This window comes from Homo sapiens, chromosome 3 (genome assembly GCF_000001405.40).
Source record: "Homo sapiens chromosome 3, GRCh38.p14 Primary Assembly".
Taxonomy (NCBI): domain Eukaryota; kingdom Metazoa; phylum Chordata; class Mammalia; order Primates; family Hominidae; genus Homo; species Homo sapiens.
This window is the reverse complement of record NC_000003.12, coordinates 116,826,703-116,842,149: the sequence shown is the minus strand read 5'-3', so window position 1 is coordinate 116,842,149 and position 15,447 is coordinate 116,826,703.

Sequence of the window (15,447 nt, the reverse complement as noted above, 5' to 3'; positions counted from 1 at the left end):
TTTGTGTTCCTGCATCCTTTTCAGATATATGGCTTTAAATAATTCTTTAGTTTGATTTCCAATAGCTTGGGATATGTATGTGATGTACAGTATTCATCTAGCTTGCACACTAATGAGCAAGTCACATAATTTTTCCAGACCTCAATTTCACCACCTATAAATTGAAGCCCTAGGACTAGATTGTCTTAAAGATAGGACTCCATTCTCAGCTTGTTTGTAACCTGGTGATCAAAAAGTAGGTACTTAGGGCCACATGCTGTTTTGTATAAAAATAGGTTCTCCTCTCCTCTACTTCAATACACCTTGACTTCAGTATCCAGCTCAAAACAAATGTAGTGAGTAAAGAAAGAAGCCGTTTTCCAACTCAGTACTAAAATAACAGTATGAGGCTGAAAATAAGTAGCTAAGAAAATTGCTTTTTGTGTTTGTATAATTTTTTTCAAGTTTGCCTATTGTAACTCTTTTTTATTTTTAAGGAAAATGTCATTAAATTGGAAGGCTTTCTGTTTCCTGCTGGTTGCCTTTTTTCTCTTCCATCTCATGCCAGATACTGTGTATTGAAAGCAATTTTAGCAGATGTAACTAATGAAGGACTTGAGTGCGTGCATATGATGTGATGTTATTTTGTGACCAGGAGCTCTTCCAGATCTCTTATCAACTTTTCTCTTGGATTGTTATAAAACTTGGTCATTGTATATTGTATTCTCTTTCTCACATGTGAAATGAACAGGGGATTATCATGCATATCTTTGGATGCTGCTGTGAGGTACACCACAAGGGATCAATATTTGTTCAACATATTAATATCCCACGGCAAATCACAGCAAGTCGTAGTAACTGCTGTTGCATTGCCTGTACCTGTCCCTGTGGCTGATTTGCCATTAACAGCTGGGGAAGTAGGCTTAATTCTGAACGCCGTGCTGTGGACAGATGGACCTCATCTCTCTTACTTTACTTGAACTACACTGCCCTCGTGGGAACTATTTCTTTCTCTGTGAAAATCCCCAAACCTCACACCTCATCACTGATAACAAAATAAGCAAGCAAACAAAAGATTTAATTTTAAAAATGAAACCAATAATATCAAAGTGAGTAGATTATATTACTTGGCAATGATACCTATCAGAACAAAATGTAAAGAATAGACTGTATACATTTATTATCATGTCATCAACACTCTCTTCTCACCTTCTCTCAGATGCATGGGATAGCTAATTAAATATGAATAGCATCAAATTCCAACAGGGTAGACATTATGGAGCCATTTAGTTCTTCTAGTCATCTGATTCAGTCCAGTTTTGTGACCACTTATTGTGTAAGGTGATTAGTAGGTTTCCTGAATTACATAAAAAATATTAACATGGATTTTCCCTTCTTCAACTTTTACTAAAACCTCTTTGAATGTGTATAAGAACAAGAACAGTCTCATAGAATATTGAGATCTTGAAGGAACATTGGAAGAATGGAAGACATAACTTGCACTCTCATGGATGAAAAATGTTGGTAGAACTACACTAACTCTACTCATGATAACTTTGTAAAGTGACTGGTCACATCTTTATTTTACAGACGAAAATACTAAGTTTTAAAAAAACGACTTGCCCAATACACAGCTTATAAATCGCAGAGTTGGTTAAAATCTAAACTTAGTACCCTTTCTACTATACCATGTTTAATAGGATGGCAGTGGTTAAGCAAAGGCACAATTCTCTTACCTGTTGCTGGAGGAAGTATAAATTGACATAACCTCTATAAAAGGAACTTGGCAATATTTATCAATATTAAAAATTTATATATTTGTTCAACATTTCCATTTTTGAAAATATATTCTACAAATTTAGGTGCACACATATGAAATGATGTAATAGCATATGTAATAACAGACAACCATATAAGGTTATACTATACAGCTAGACAAAAATAATTATGCTCCTTATATACTGATACAGAAGGATCTCTTGTTTAAAAAGAAAAGCAGGATGCACAGAACAATGGAAACAGAAAGGAAGAGAATGCTGTTTTTACATTTGTGTTAAATGAAGGGATAAAAATAAATTCAAATGTGCTCATATCTCCCTAGGTAAATTCTGGCAGGATACCCAAGAAACTAACAATAGTGCTTACCTATCATAGGGACAGAGAAGAGGTTGGATGAGTGACAGGTGTGGGAATGTGACTTTATAGAATATCACTTTTTATGTATAAAAATTTAGCCAGGTGAATATGTTCCATGTTCAAAATGTGTTGAAGACATGGTTCGAGGTGTTGATAACTTATGTTCACGTATTCACACACAAACAATAACTTCTGGTACAATACAAAAAATACTCAGTGTATATGAACATGTCTAAGAATGTAAGCCATGTGCTTTTAAAAATATTTCTAAATATTATTGATATTGAGGTATTTTAGAAAGCCTTTAGGAGATACACAGGAAGGAAGCAGGAGAATAATAGGAATTGGGAAACAGATGATGGAATAGCTTGCTTCTCTAAGTCTGCCTGTCAGTGCTGCTCTCACAGCGTATTCAGATACACCTTTGGGAGCAAAGAAAGAAATTCTCTAAGCCATATCCTACGAAGCTAAAATAGGGCCAGTTTAAAATGTTAAGTGCCTTGGCTAAGGTTTAAAGCCACTATGATTGAATGGATTGACTATGTATGTATGCAAAAGTAAGCACTTCTTGGACAAATGAGGTCCAACAACAGGCAGATGAAACAGGTAAGTGGTGTGCCCACCACTCTGGCATTTCTTCCCCCTGCTTTGATCACCCTGTCTATTGCCATATGTTGTCTTTACTCGGGCACACTTTCCTGCAGTGTTGGATCTACTTTCTCACATGCCACAAATGCGTTTTTAAAAAATAAAATCTGAACAAGATTTCAAAAAATCTATCATCATTCAAATAGGTTTTTTATACTTACTACCCTACAATAGAGCGTACCATACCAGAAGTAGTTTGTGATTATTTTGACTATAACTATTGATACATTCTTAATTCCAGATTGTACTTCTGAGTAAGTCTTTGAGATATTTTGATTCTATATGAGAGTCTTGATGGTGTAGGAAAAATCCCTGTGTATTGCACTTATTAATCTTCGGATGGGGGTGATCAAGACTGCACTTATGACTGACAATGCATAAGATATATGTCCTTCGATGTTCTTATTCTTATGCAAACTACTTTAACTTCCATATAATTCAAAAGAAATGCATTTTATACTTGAAAATTGCTAAAAGAGTACATCTTAAATGTTCTCACCACAAAAACATGAGTAGGTGAGGTGATGGATATGTTAATTGGCTTGGTTTAATCATTTTACAATATATCAAAACATCATGTTATACACCATAAATATATAAAATTTTTATTTTCCAATTATACCTTAATAATGCTGAAAAATGAGAAAAACAATGGAGCAGAACCATGTGTACATTTTTTTCAGCTTGTCCAGACTTTAGCATCTAATTTTTTATAAAGTGGAACTTGGTGTTTCACTTATTCCTTACAGCAACAAACATATTTATTAAAATGTATTGTAGTTAGGAAGGATAATATTTAAAGAATATGCAGTAAAACCTTCAGGTGCCTCTCTACTATCTACTCCTAGGGCTGTGATGCTGTCTTACTGACACAAGTAGTATAAATGTCTAGAATTTTATTTTTTCCTTTAATAAGAAAGATGATACCATGTTGTATACCTCCAGCTATGTATGTACTTATGGATGGATGAATTTCAAGTTTAAGAGAATTTGGCTGCCTCGTTTAGAACTTAATTCCCACAAAACAGGTGATCCTATTGTATACAAAGAGTTTGGATCTAGACAGATTCAGGCATGTGTATCAGCGACCATAAGCCAGTATGACCTATCTATCATTAGGGAACATTCATATCCCAACAGAACCATTTGTTAGCAGTATCAAATCGCAATAACTTTAGGCCATTTGGTGTTTTAAGGCTTATATAAACAATTAGAATAAACAAAATTTCTGTTTTTGTGGAGATATGTGTTTTTATAGATTCGTTGAAAATTTTGTGCAATAGCATCAATTAAGAAAATAAGCTACATATTAAAACAATCCAAACTCTCTAAAGTATTGTACGGTATCTTTATTATGACTGACAGATGAACCACTATAGTGTATGAGCTTTCATACAATTACAGTCAACATCACAGTTTGTCCCTAAGGGGTTCCACACTAAAGATCAAATAAAGGAAAGCTAAAATGTACACATATATTTTATACTTAATTTGAAAACATAAAAATCATTACATAGGATATTTAATTTTATTATGACCATATTTTTTGCCAAGCCATCTGTAGTTATGAGTCTTAGTTGATTGGTTTTCATAGAAATTTTCTTATTCAAGGGGAGTGACGCTGCTCAGTTTTGCCTACTTATTTGTGCAGTTCACAGTACAATCTGATCTTCCCCTGGAGAGTCTCTGCTGTTAAAAGATAGCTATTGCTTAGTCAGCTATTCAGATTTTAGTGGGATCCGTTGTTAAGGGAAGAGGAGTGGGTGGAAGATGGATAGACTCAAAAAAACTCTTTAAAGACTAGGTTGAAGCAATTTTCAGAGGGCAAAGCGGAGAATAATTACAAAGAAATTCTTTCTGAAAAAGATCAATAACTAGGAAATTAACCTTTGAACTCACTGTCATAGAAAATCTATTTAATAACCAGAAGACTAATTTTTAAATGGATTCATATTGTCTAGTCCAACTTTTTCACACAAGAAAAAGGAAGCCCACAAAGCCTCACTCCAATAAAAGGGAAAACAATGCTTCTCTCGGATTCACAAAGTAACATATAACTTATGAGGAAAGTTACAATCCTCTCCATCTACCACATTCAGATGTAGTTAAGGTTTAATCTAATGCAGTGTGCTTATATTTACATAAACAGAAAATGAATTTAGCTGAAATAGAGGAAAATTATAAAGTGTAGTGAAAAGTTTCTATGCATTACTTATATTTACTATTAAAAAGTAAAAAAAAAAAACTAGCAATACTATAGTTACTGTAGAATAGATTTATCATTTCCGGCATATGAAAAGACCTATAAAAACGTGTTTTTTCCTTGGTGTTTTAAAATTCAGCTTTATTAATAGATACTTTACACACACTATTTACTAATTTTTGATGTATATTTTGATGAATGTTGAGCAATGTATACAGCTGTGTATTCTCAACCGCAATGATGATATAGAACATTTCCATTTACTCAAGAGTTGCCTTATGACCCTTTGTAATCATAATCCTTCCCTCATTCCTATTTTCTGGCAACTACTGACCTTTCTGTCACTACAGTTTTTGACTTTTCTAAGCTCATATAAATGTAAAAATATACTGTATTTTTGGCTATTGCATACAGCATAATATTTTATTGATTTTCATTGCATGTATAAATAGTTAGAACACTTAATAGCTGAAAAGTAATCCATTTTATGGATGTACTACAAATTGTTTATCAGTTCATCAGTTGATGGATATTTGGGTTATTTCCAGTGTTATTTGGCTCTTGTGAATAAAGCACCTATGAACAAAATATTTTTGGTCATATCTATTTTTAATCTTGTGTAAATACTTAGAAGTGGAGTTGTTGGGTCATATGGTAAGTATATCTTTAACTTTATGAGAAACTGTAGTTTTTTTCTAAAGTAGTGATTAATCTATTTTACATCTCCACCAGCGGTGCCTAAGCATTCCAATTGTTCCGCATCATCACCAATATCCTGTATAGTTCTAGACCAGGAAACTATTTTGGCCATAAATCACAGCAAGAATTTCATTTTACAGTATAACCCATGATGCACATTCATAACTAAAATATATTTTAAGAAACAATATTTTTGGTTTACTCCAAGCAAACCAGTCTGATTTTTATTGTCTACTCTCATATTTTGCTACAAAATAAAAATGCTTGTCCCTACAACTAAACTAATTTTACAACTTACTTTACTAATGGCTTGACCTATAGTTTAAAAAATAATGCTCATGCTTTTGATTCACATCTACATAGCTACACAAATATCTAATTCTGAGTTGTTGGCTTATTATTTATAATAAGACCATGAATATATGGTGTAGCATTATGATTTTCACCAGGAATTGGTTACTTTGGATTAGAAGGGAAAGAAGGCTGAAAAATTAATCTGGGTTTGGGGTTTTGCCAAATAGATGAGACTGACCTAAAACAAGGCAGGAAATTGACAGCTAATGGTTGAACTTTGAATTGAATCAGGGCTGCCATGTGGTAGAAAGTAAGTGTTACAGGTAGCAAGCCTGTACCAGAAGATAGATTACATTGGCCACAGTCTGGAGCCATTGTGCAACCATCACTCTCAGCTACCAAAATGACCACGTGTTCTTTACCTTTTCAAACTTTTACATCAGAGTGCCAACAAATAGATGTGGCTTTTTTTTAAAGTTATTAGTAATGACTAAACTTTCATTTAAAAAGAAAACTGAAATTATTATAGGAAACTTAGGTTTAGCCATTTTATTTATTCATAGAGTCCCTTCATGTTTTGTTTTGTTTTCATATTTGTTTAGGAATTACGGACAGCAAGATAATGGATAGACTGAAACCTAAGAGGCTAAAGATAGTAAATGAGGTTGGTTAGATTGATATTTCAGTCTGTGGGTAGTAGGTTTATAGAAGGTTTATATAAATATAAAAAATAAATATATTTTATATTTAATAAAAAACATTTTTCTGTGTGACTCACAGATTTTGTCTCATTTTCAAAAAATTTGCCCTGGCTTTTTCTTTTCTCATTAAAATTCACCAATATTATTCCTTTCATTGTTAAGTATTCAGCTAAAAGCTGAGCTTTTGAAGGCTTTATATTAGAAGAAACTGTGTCAAGTTGCAGAAATCGTTAGTACACTGATTCAACCTTTCAGATTAGCAAAGGAACATGGTCCAAGGTCAGTGAATAAATTACACTGTATCACAAAAAGAAAATTACACCCTGACATAGTATGATTTTAATAAAAAATGAAAATGGGATTTATGACCCCCTTTCTTCAGGCTACTAATGTTCATTGCCAAGAGATGAATCCCTTCTGTGACATTAAATGTGAGATGGGCTACAGAAAATGTTGTGGACTAATTCACTTGCCAAGAAGAGAGGCAAAGCATATACATGCATACATTTTTATACCCATCTGCTATCACAATGAAGCCAAATATGTTTTAGGCAAACAAATCAGGCCAAATAAGTTCATTTTTTCCCAGTGCAATAATGGAAAACTAATGAATTAATGAGACGCAGGTCTAACAATTAACAGAAGGAAAGTAACAATGTTGACTGGAAAGAAGTGACAATCATATAGATTGAACAGCTGAAAAATAATTGAATACCACCCTTCTAGGAAGCATTGATAGGCTACTGTCAATCTGGAAGGACATGTTGTACTGAGTCTTTAATAACACACCTCTAAATATAATATTAATGAATACTGTCATTAACAACTAATAAAAACAAGTAAAAGAATATGAAAAGCATAATTTAAATATGTAACAAGTATAACGGCACTGCAACATGATGTGGGTTTGGATCAGCACACATTATACCCTGATTAAATTTGAGAAATTGGTTAAAACCAATAAGATGAAATCCATTTAGAACAAATGTAAAATGGCTCAGTGATGGCAGAAATTAACAGATGCCCTCATTCAGAATGACAAAAACTGAGACAGACTCTATATGATGGTTGAATGCATGGATTAATGAAGCTGTTAATAAGATAACATTTTGCTAAATATGTCATGGAGGAATATCTCCTCCAGCAGTTAATATTTTTACTTAGGCTTAAAGAGAAAACATTAGTTTACAAACTCTAAAGTGTCAAGATGCTGCTCATCAATTGTTTTATTAAAACTCTTCTTGACAAAATAGGACATTGCACAGCATAATTAATAAAGAACTTTCATCTACTTAAGCACCCTTTGTGTTTAGAGGATAACCTCTCTTAATTCAATCCTTGCTTGGTATTGCTAATGCATCTTTCTAACTCCTGTTTAGACTGTCTCCCTTTTTGCTCCCAACCCCTTAAACCTTCCATCTGTACCTCTGCCTCCATTTCCTACCTACTTATTTTCTGAAGCCCTATAATCAATCTTATGTTTTTACATTTTGCTCAAATATTTTCACTTGCTACATATTGAAATGTCCTTCCTGACTCTTCACTGGTTTTCCTCCAGGCTTTATTTTCCTTTGAAGTCTAACATTTTGCATCATAGGCCATTCGCTTTTCTTGAAATGCTTTATTCTTTTGTCTTCTGCACTTACATTATTTCTCTTTACTCTTCCCCACTCTGGCCCTTCCTTCTTGTTCTGTTTTTAAAGGATCTCTTCTTTTCTTCTGCCTACGAACAATAAGGTTTTCTAAATCTGTGTGCTCAAACCTTTTCTTTCCTCTGTATATTCAATCTACACATGTATTTTGCTGCCCTTTAGGGATTCAATTAACATTGCTTTCATTATCTAATTCTCTTATCTGCATCTCCAGCCTTGACCTCTTATCCTGGTCCTAACTCAGCTGCTTATTCAACTAGTTGAAAATGTATATTTATTTAAATTTCCATAGTTACTACAAATTTGACATTTTTGCTTGGAGTAAGATTTCATTTGCAGTCATTTTTCTACTTCATTTACATGATTAGAACCACTACACCCCCACTCTGCTAGGTTTTGACTCTTGCATTTTCCTGCTTTTCAGACCAGATCATTCATCTCCAGGCCCCATGTGATCACTGTTCTCAGAGCATTTCATGCAGTGTATAATTGATGTGGAGGCTTTCTGTGTGGTCCTGTGCCTTCACTGTGTCCAGCTTCCATCTAACCTGCACTCTGATGCCCCCACAAATTTCCTTAACATATAACCCATTATTTTTCCAGTTGAGAACTTTCCATAATTCTTGAAGCCCAATATGTTAAATCAAAGCTGCTCTGCTTATAGCTCAGTCTTTCACAATCCATCCCCTTTCACCTAAACAATTTTATTTCCATTCTTTCTACCATATGGTGTCTGCTGTAGTTAGGCCATTTTCATTTTTATTTCCTCCTTATGCCTAACCCATGATGATTTTTATATCTGAAATAGCAATTCTTCAATTTCAGACCAAGGTTTTCTTGTAAGTATCTCATGATCTGTGAATTTTCTTCAAAATGTACTTCTTCAAAGTACTTTCTTTGTTTCTTTTGGGTCAATGTTGCTCGGTTCCAGAGACATTTTAGTTTTTGATTGTCAGCTTACTAAAAGTCATGACAAAATTGTTGTGATATTCACAATTACTATAATTTATATTCCTAAACAAAAACAAGAATATAACTATAGTTTGATGGGGACACTTGTATATTATTCTATTAAGAGTGTTACCTCCTTCGCAACATTGTAGAGCTCCTAGTTCATATAAAGCAGAGAGGTGGAATTCTCAGACTATTACAGAAGGATTTGATGGTTGTTGTTACAGGTATAACATCAGTGTTATTTTTTTCACAGTCTTTTTCATTTGTATAAATTTTTGATTTTGTTTCTAAACAAGAGTTAATTTAGCTCTATCATGCTTAATCTAGCTTGTTGTGAGTGGATTCATCAACCCTACAATGTGTGGTGATGTGTATTGGTGTCATCAAAAATGTTGGCTTATAAGCATCTAATTACTAGACTTTAGAAATATATGGGATGCAGTCAAAATATGAATGCACAATACCTCTAAGTCAAGTGCATAAAAATTTGTATATTGATACTTCATTATTTTATCTCACAAAAGTGGTAACAGGCTGGGTAGGTCCTTTGCTCTGCTTAAAAATAATTTTTAAGGCATTGATCTAAAATATCTAATCATGTTTGGTTTGTTGAATAGCTTCTCTTGCCCCACAGCTTGTTCATAGCTCTGTTATGAAGTTGATGTTTGAATGCAAGGATGTCTCCACGCTATATCTTGCTCTGACTTTCATTTCAAATCTGGATTTTGCTCAGCATTTATCTTCTTAAATTTGATGAAGTTAATAGAGCATACTGGCCAAAAGCAAAGGCTTTAGTTAACCTAGCCTAACCTGGGTTCAAAGTACAGCTCTTTTCTTGTCTGGTGTGAAATTGAGTACATTACTTAAGCTTCATATTTCTCTTCTATAAAATGTGTTATTAGTTAACCATATGATCATTGGGATAAAGTAAATCATCAATAAATATTAAATATCGATATGCTCCAGACTATCACTTTCCTATTGAGCCTCTCATTGCCTGGGACTAAATATTCAGGGTTTTTTTGTTTTTATTATTGCGTTAGTTAAATGTATTTGATTTGTATGTTCAAAAACCTAGTTACACCAAAATGACTATATGAGGATACAACGATGTTTCATAAAGCAGGAAAATATCCTGTGCTGAAGGAAAAGGTGAATCCAGAAATGTGATGGCACTCCATTTTCTTTCCATGTTTTTCACTTTAGCTCCATTATGTGCATCTTACTTCAGTATTCTTCATCCCTGCAGGCTGAGTATCTACTTCTGAGTCTACAGAGTGAAAAACATGGTTGACAATAGCTTGTGAATTTCTGATTCCCAGTCTGGTCAACCAGACAAAGAAAAAGATGACATCTAAGCCCATTTCAAAATATCCAGTTGGTCCAATTAGAGGAAGGGATGATTGTTCCAGATTAAGTACTGGGCCCATTTTAATCTATCATTTAGAGTAGCAGAGAATCATGTTATATGAACATGACTGCTCCTGCTCTAACAATATATTATGAGACATTACCCAGAAAATAGAACGTTTTCCAGAATCAAGGAATCAGGAGGGCTGAGTAGATGACCTAGTAAATGTCTCTGTTGTTATTAACACTGGCTCAACCTGAACCCCCAAACATAGGTCATACTTGAGAAAGCTTCTTCTTAACTGGGAGGAAAGGCTAGACATTAATTTATTGCCCTTTTCTGCTTCTTCAAATTCTATCCTAAGAACCAGCTCACTTAGCAATCTCCTCTAGCACTTTTTAAAATTATTTATTGTCCAACATCATAATCTCTGAATATAGAAGTAGGTTAATAGAGTTCATACAAAGTGTAACACTAACCTACTTCCATAATTTCAAGACTTGGGACTATTTTCTTTCTATTGAATTCTGTCTTTGTCAAAATGATATAAAGCTTTATATAGATTCTGTATATGTCTGTGGTGGTTAAAGAAATAACCACACAATTTATTGATATTCCTTTTATCTTGAGGTGAGGTCTTTGTCTTCTCCCTTGATTATGGGAGAGCTTGTAATTGCTGTGACCGATACAGCATGGCAAAAGCAATACTATGTGATTTCTGAGGGTAAGTTATAAATGACGGTATAGCCTCCACTTTGTTTGCTGGAATATTTGTGCTGAAGCCCTGAGCCACCATGTAAGAAGTTCCACCCTGTTTTGTTTTGTTTTATTTTGAGACAGAGTCTCTCTCTGTTGCCCAGACTGGAGTGCAGTGGCGTGATCTCAGGTCACAGCAACCTCCACCTTCTGGGTTCAAGTGATTCTTGTACCTCAGCCTCCCAAGTAGCTGGGATTACAGGCATGCTCCATCATGCCCTGCTAATTTTTGTATTTTTAGTGGAGATGGGGTTTCACACTGTTAGCCAGGCTGGTCACGAACTCCTGACTTCAAGTGATCTGCCTGCTTTGGCCTGCCGAAGTGCTGGGATTACAGGTGTAAGCCACCACACCCTACCTAGAAGATCTACCCTGAGCATGTTGTAGAGGACATCTGTAAGCATGTTCAGCAGTTAGGCATTACCTGCTAGTCCAGGCACCAGAGTGAGCAGATCTCCAGATGATTGTAGCCCCCAGATATCTAGTCACTATCTGCCTTTGAGTCTTCTCAGCTGAGGTCCCAGACACTGGAGATCAAGACATCCCCACTATGTCATTTCTAAATTTCTGACCAACCAGATGCAAGAGTATATTAAAACAGTTGTGGGTTTTTTTTTTTTGCGATTCGATAATGAAATAATCTGTTACACAGCCATAGCAACTGGGTAGCGTCCTTTGTCAGTTACATAAATTCTCTCACTCTGTAGCTTGTATTTTTATTTTCTTAATGATGGCTTTTGATGAAGAGAAGTCCAGTTTTCAGCCTTATTCTTCATGATTAATCTTTTTAGTGGTTCTGTTTGATAAATGCTTTCCTACTCCAAGGCCAAGAATATATTTTCCTATATTAATTTTTACAAGTGTTATTGTATTACTTTTATCTTTTAATCTATAACTTAATAGAAACTAATTTTCTATATATGATGTAAAAGCCAATATTCATTTCTTTTTGCTTATGGATATCCAATTGACCCAATACCCTTTATTGAAAAGCTGATCTTTTCTTCATTTGTGAGTGGGTCTATTTCTGGATTATCTATTTTGTTCTTCTGGTCTATTATCTTTCCTTGAGCGATTCCAAATCTAAGTTACTGTATCTTTATAAGTCTTTATATATGATTGCACAAGTTCTTTGAATGTCTTTCTTCAAGATAGTAGAGGCCCTCGCTATTTTGGGGCCTTTTCATTTCTACGTGAAATTTTAAAACAGCTTCTCAGTTTACACAAGCATACAAAAATATACACACATACACCTGCTACAATTTTTACTACAATTAGACATTGGACATATGGATCAATTTTGGGAACATTTACATTATTACAATATTAGATGTTCCAATCTATAAACAAGGTTTATTTCTCTACTTGGGTATGTTTAGTTTCTCTCAATAATGTTGTAGGGCTTTCTATAAGAAGTGTTGCATATATTTTGTAGAGGTATTTCTTGATATTTCATATTGTACTTTTTAAAAATTTTGTTTTTTAAAGAGTAATTTATTTTCCGTTTATTTTTTAATATTGTATTTTTGTGTTGTGTTTATGTATGTGTGTGCACATGTATGTGTTGACTTTGTACACAGTGACCTTATTAAATTCATGTACAAAGTAATATTTATTTTATATGCTTTTGGATTTTCTTTATTCAGAACTACGTTGTTTGAAAATCATGACGCTTTTATTTTTTCCTTTGTAGTTTTTTTTTTTTTTTAAAGTTTGGTAGCACGATAGGGTGACTATTGTTAGCAATAATTTATTGTATATTTCAAAATAACTGAAGGGTAGATTTGGTATGTTACAAACACAAAGAAATAATAAATTTTCAAGGTGATGAATATCTCAATTACACAGATTTGATCATTACATATTGTATGCTGATATAAAAGTATCAACTGTACCCCATAAATATTTACAAGTATTATATAATCATAAAATTATAAATTCAAAAAATTTTAAGTTTATTATTTTTGGGTCCTGGCTAGGACATTTGTTGCAATATTTAATAGAAATGGTGATAGCCAGTATCTTTTTTTATTCCCATACTTGGGATAAAGTGGTCAATATTTCACTATAAAGTAAGATAATCTTTCTGATTTTTTAAAGATATACTTTATGATAAGTATATCTTATGTAACTTCCCTTTATTCTCCAGTTTGGGAAATGTTGTTTATATAGGTGTATATATATATTTTTTTAATCATGAATGAGGTAGAATTTTATCACATGCTTTTTTCTTTCTATTGACATGATTATGGGCTTTTTCTCCTATTATTAATATGGAGAATTATAATAATCAGTTCTCAAATGTTAAATCAATGTCACATCACCATAATGATGCATTTTAGTTGTGATATAATTTTTATATGTTGCTGGATTCTGTTGCTGTTTTTTATTTGCGTCTATGTTCATGAGAGAAATTGACCTATAATTTTTCTTTCTTGAAATAGCCCTGTCAGATATTATCTCTGCTAGTTTTATGTGTATACATATATGAGAAATTTTATATATAATAACTATATGTAAACTTTTATACACAACTTTATATATGTATTTGTATAGGGAACAATGTGTCTGAGCTGTGCCATCTTTTCCCAACAAATTGGAATTATTTTTTAATTTCATGTAAATGAAAGCATTGGGGTCTAGAGCTTCTTTGCATGAAAGTTTTTTGTTTGTTTCTGTATAGAATAAAATATAAGTGTATGCAAAGTTTTTAGTATCTATACCTCAAATGGATAGGAATATTCAGTTTTCCATTTTTTTGTGCATTTTTTTAACATTTTACTTTCTTAATCTCTATAACGGTCCAGAAATGAAAGAAAGGAATGTTCATAGTCCATACAGAATACAGGATAAAGGTCTGTATTCTGTTTTACAGAGCAATTTTTCCCCTCTAGATGTGATATTTAATATTTCTCCAGAGCAACAAAATGTGTTTAACTTTTCTAACATTCTCCCCACGTGTTTCCTGTGCAAGACTATTCATAGCTGAGATTTTCTCCATAATAAGGAGATATGAGGCTAGAGATGCTTTATGTTCTTCCACAAAACAAGCATATTTGATTTTGATTTCTTATTCAATGATTTACTTTATTATTCTATCATTGTTTTCTACAGTTATCTTTTTTCCACTTTCCTTTTCTGCAGGAAAGTGGTTTTTGTTTGTTTGTATGTTTTTATTATTAACCAAAATCCGTATTTTATTCAGATTTCCTCAGCTTTTTCCTAATATCCTTTTTCTGTTTCAGGATTCCATCCAGATTATCACATGACATTTAATGATCATGTCTCCTGAATGTCATGTGACAGTCTCTCAGACTTTCCTTGCTTGGATGACTTTGACAGTTTTGAGGGCTAGGTATTTTGTAGAATATTCCTGAGCTGAGATTTGCCTGATGTTTTCCCCATGACTAGACTGGGGTAATGTGTTTTAATGTGTGTTAATGAGAGGAAGACAACAGAAGTAAAGTGCCATTCTCATTACATCACATGAAAGATACCCACTATATGAAATTCTTAGTGATCCAGAGGTTCTTGCAGCCATGCAGGATCCAGAAGTTATGGTGGCCTTCCAGGATGTGCCTCAGAACCCAGCGAATATGTCAAAATACCAGAGCAACCCAAAGGTTATGAATCTCCTCAGTAAATTGTCAGCCAAATTTGGAGGTCAAGCGTAATGCCCTTCTGATAAATAAAGCGCTTGCTGAAGAAAAAAAAAGATACCCACTATAAATATGACTCATTACTGTCGATGTTCACTTTCATCACCTGAGGTGAGCCAGTGTTTCTCATTTCTCCTCATGGCAAAGTTACTCTTTTATCTCCTCTCTTTGCAAACAGTACGTTTTGAAAAAAGTCATTATGTGTAGCCCATAATTAAAAAGCATGGAATTATATTCCTTAAGCTTAGGGTATTTATATATATTGAAATTCTTTTGCACAGGAAATGTGTCTATTTTCTCCCATTTATTTATTCAATTATTTATTTAAATCAGTATGTATTCATAGATATTTATTTTACATATTTATAATTAGAGGATTATAATACTTTTTGTCACTGTTTTTCAAATTGTGCCA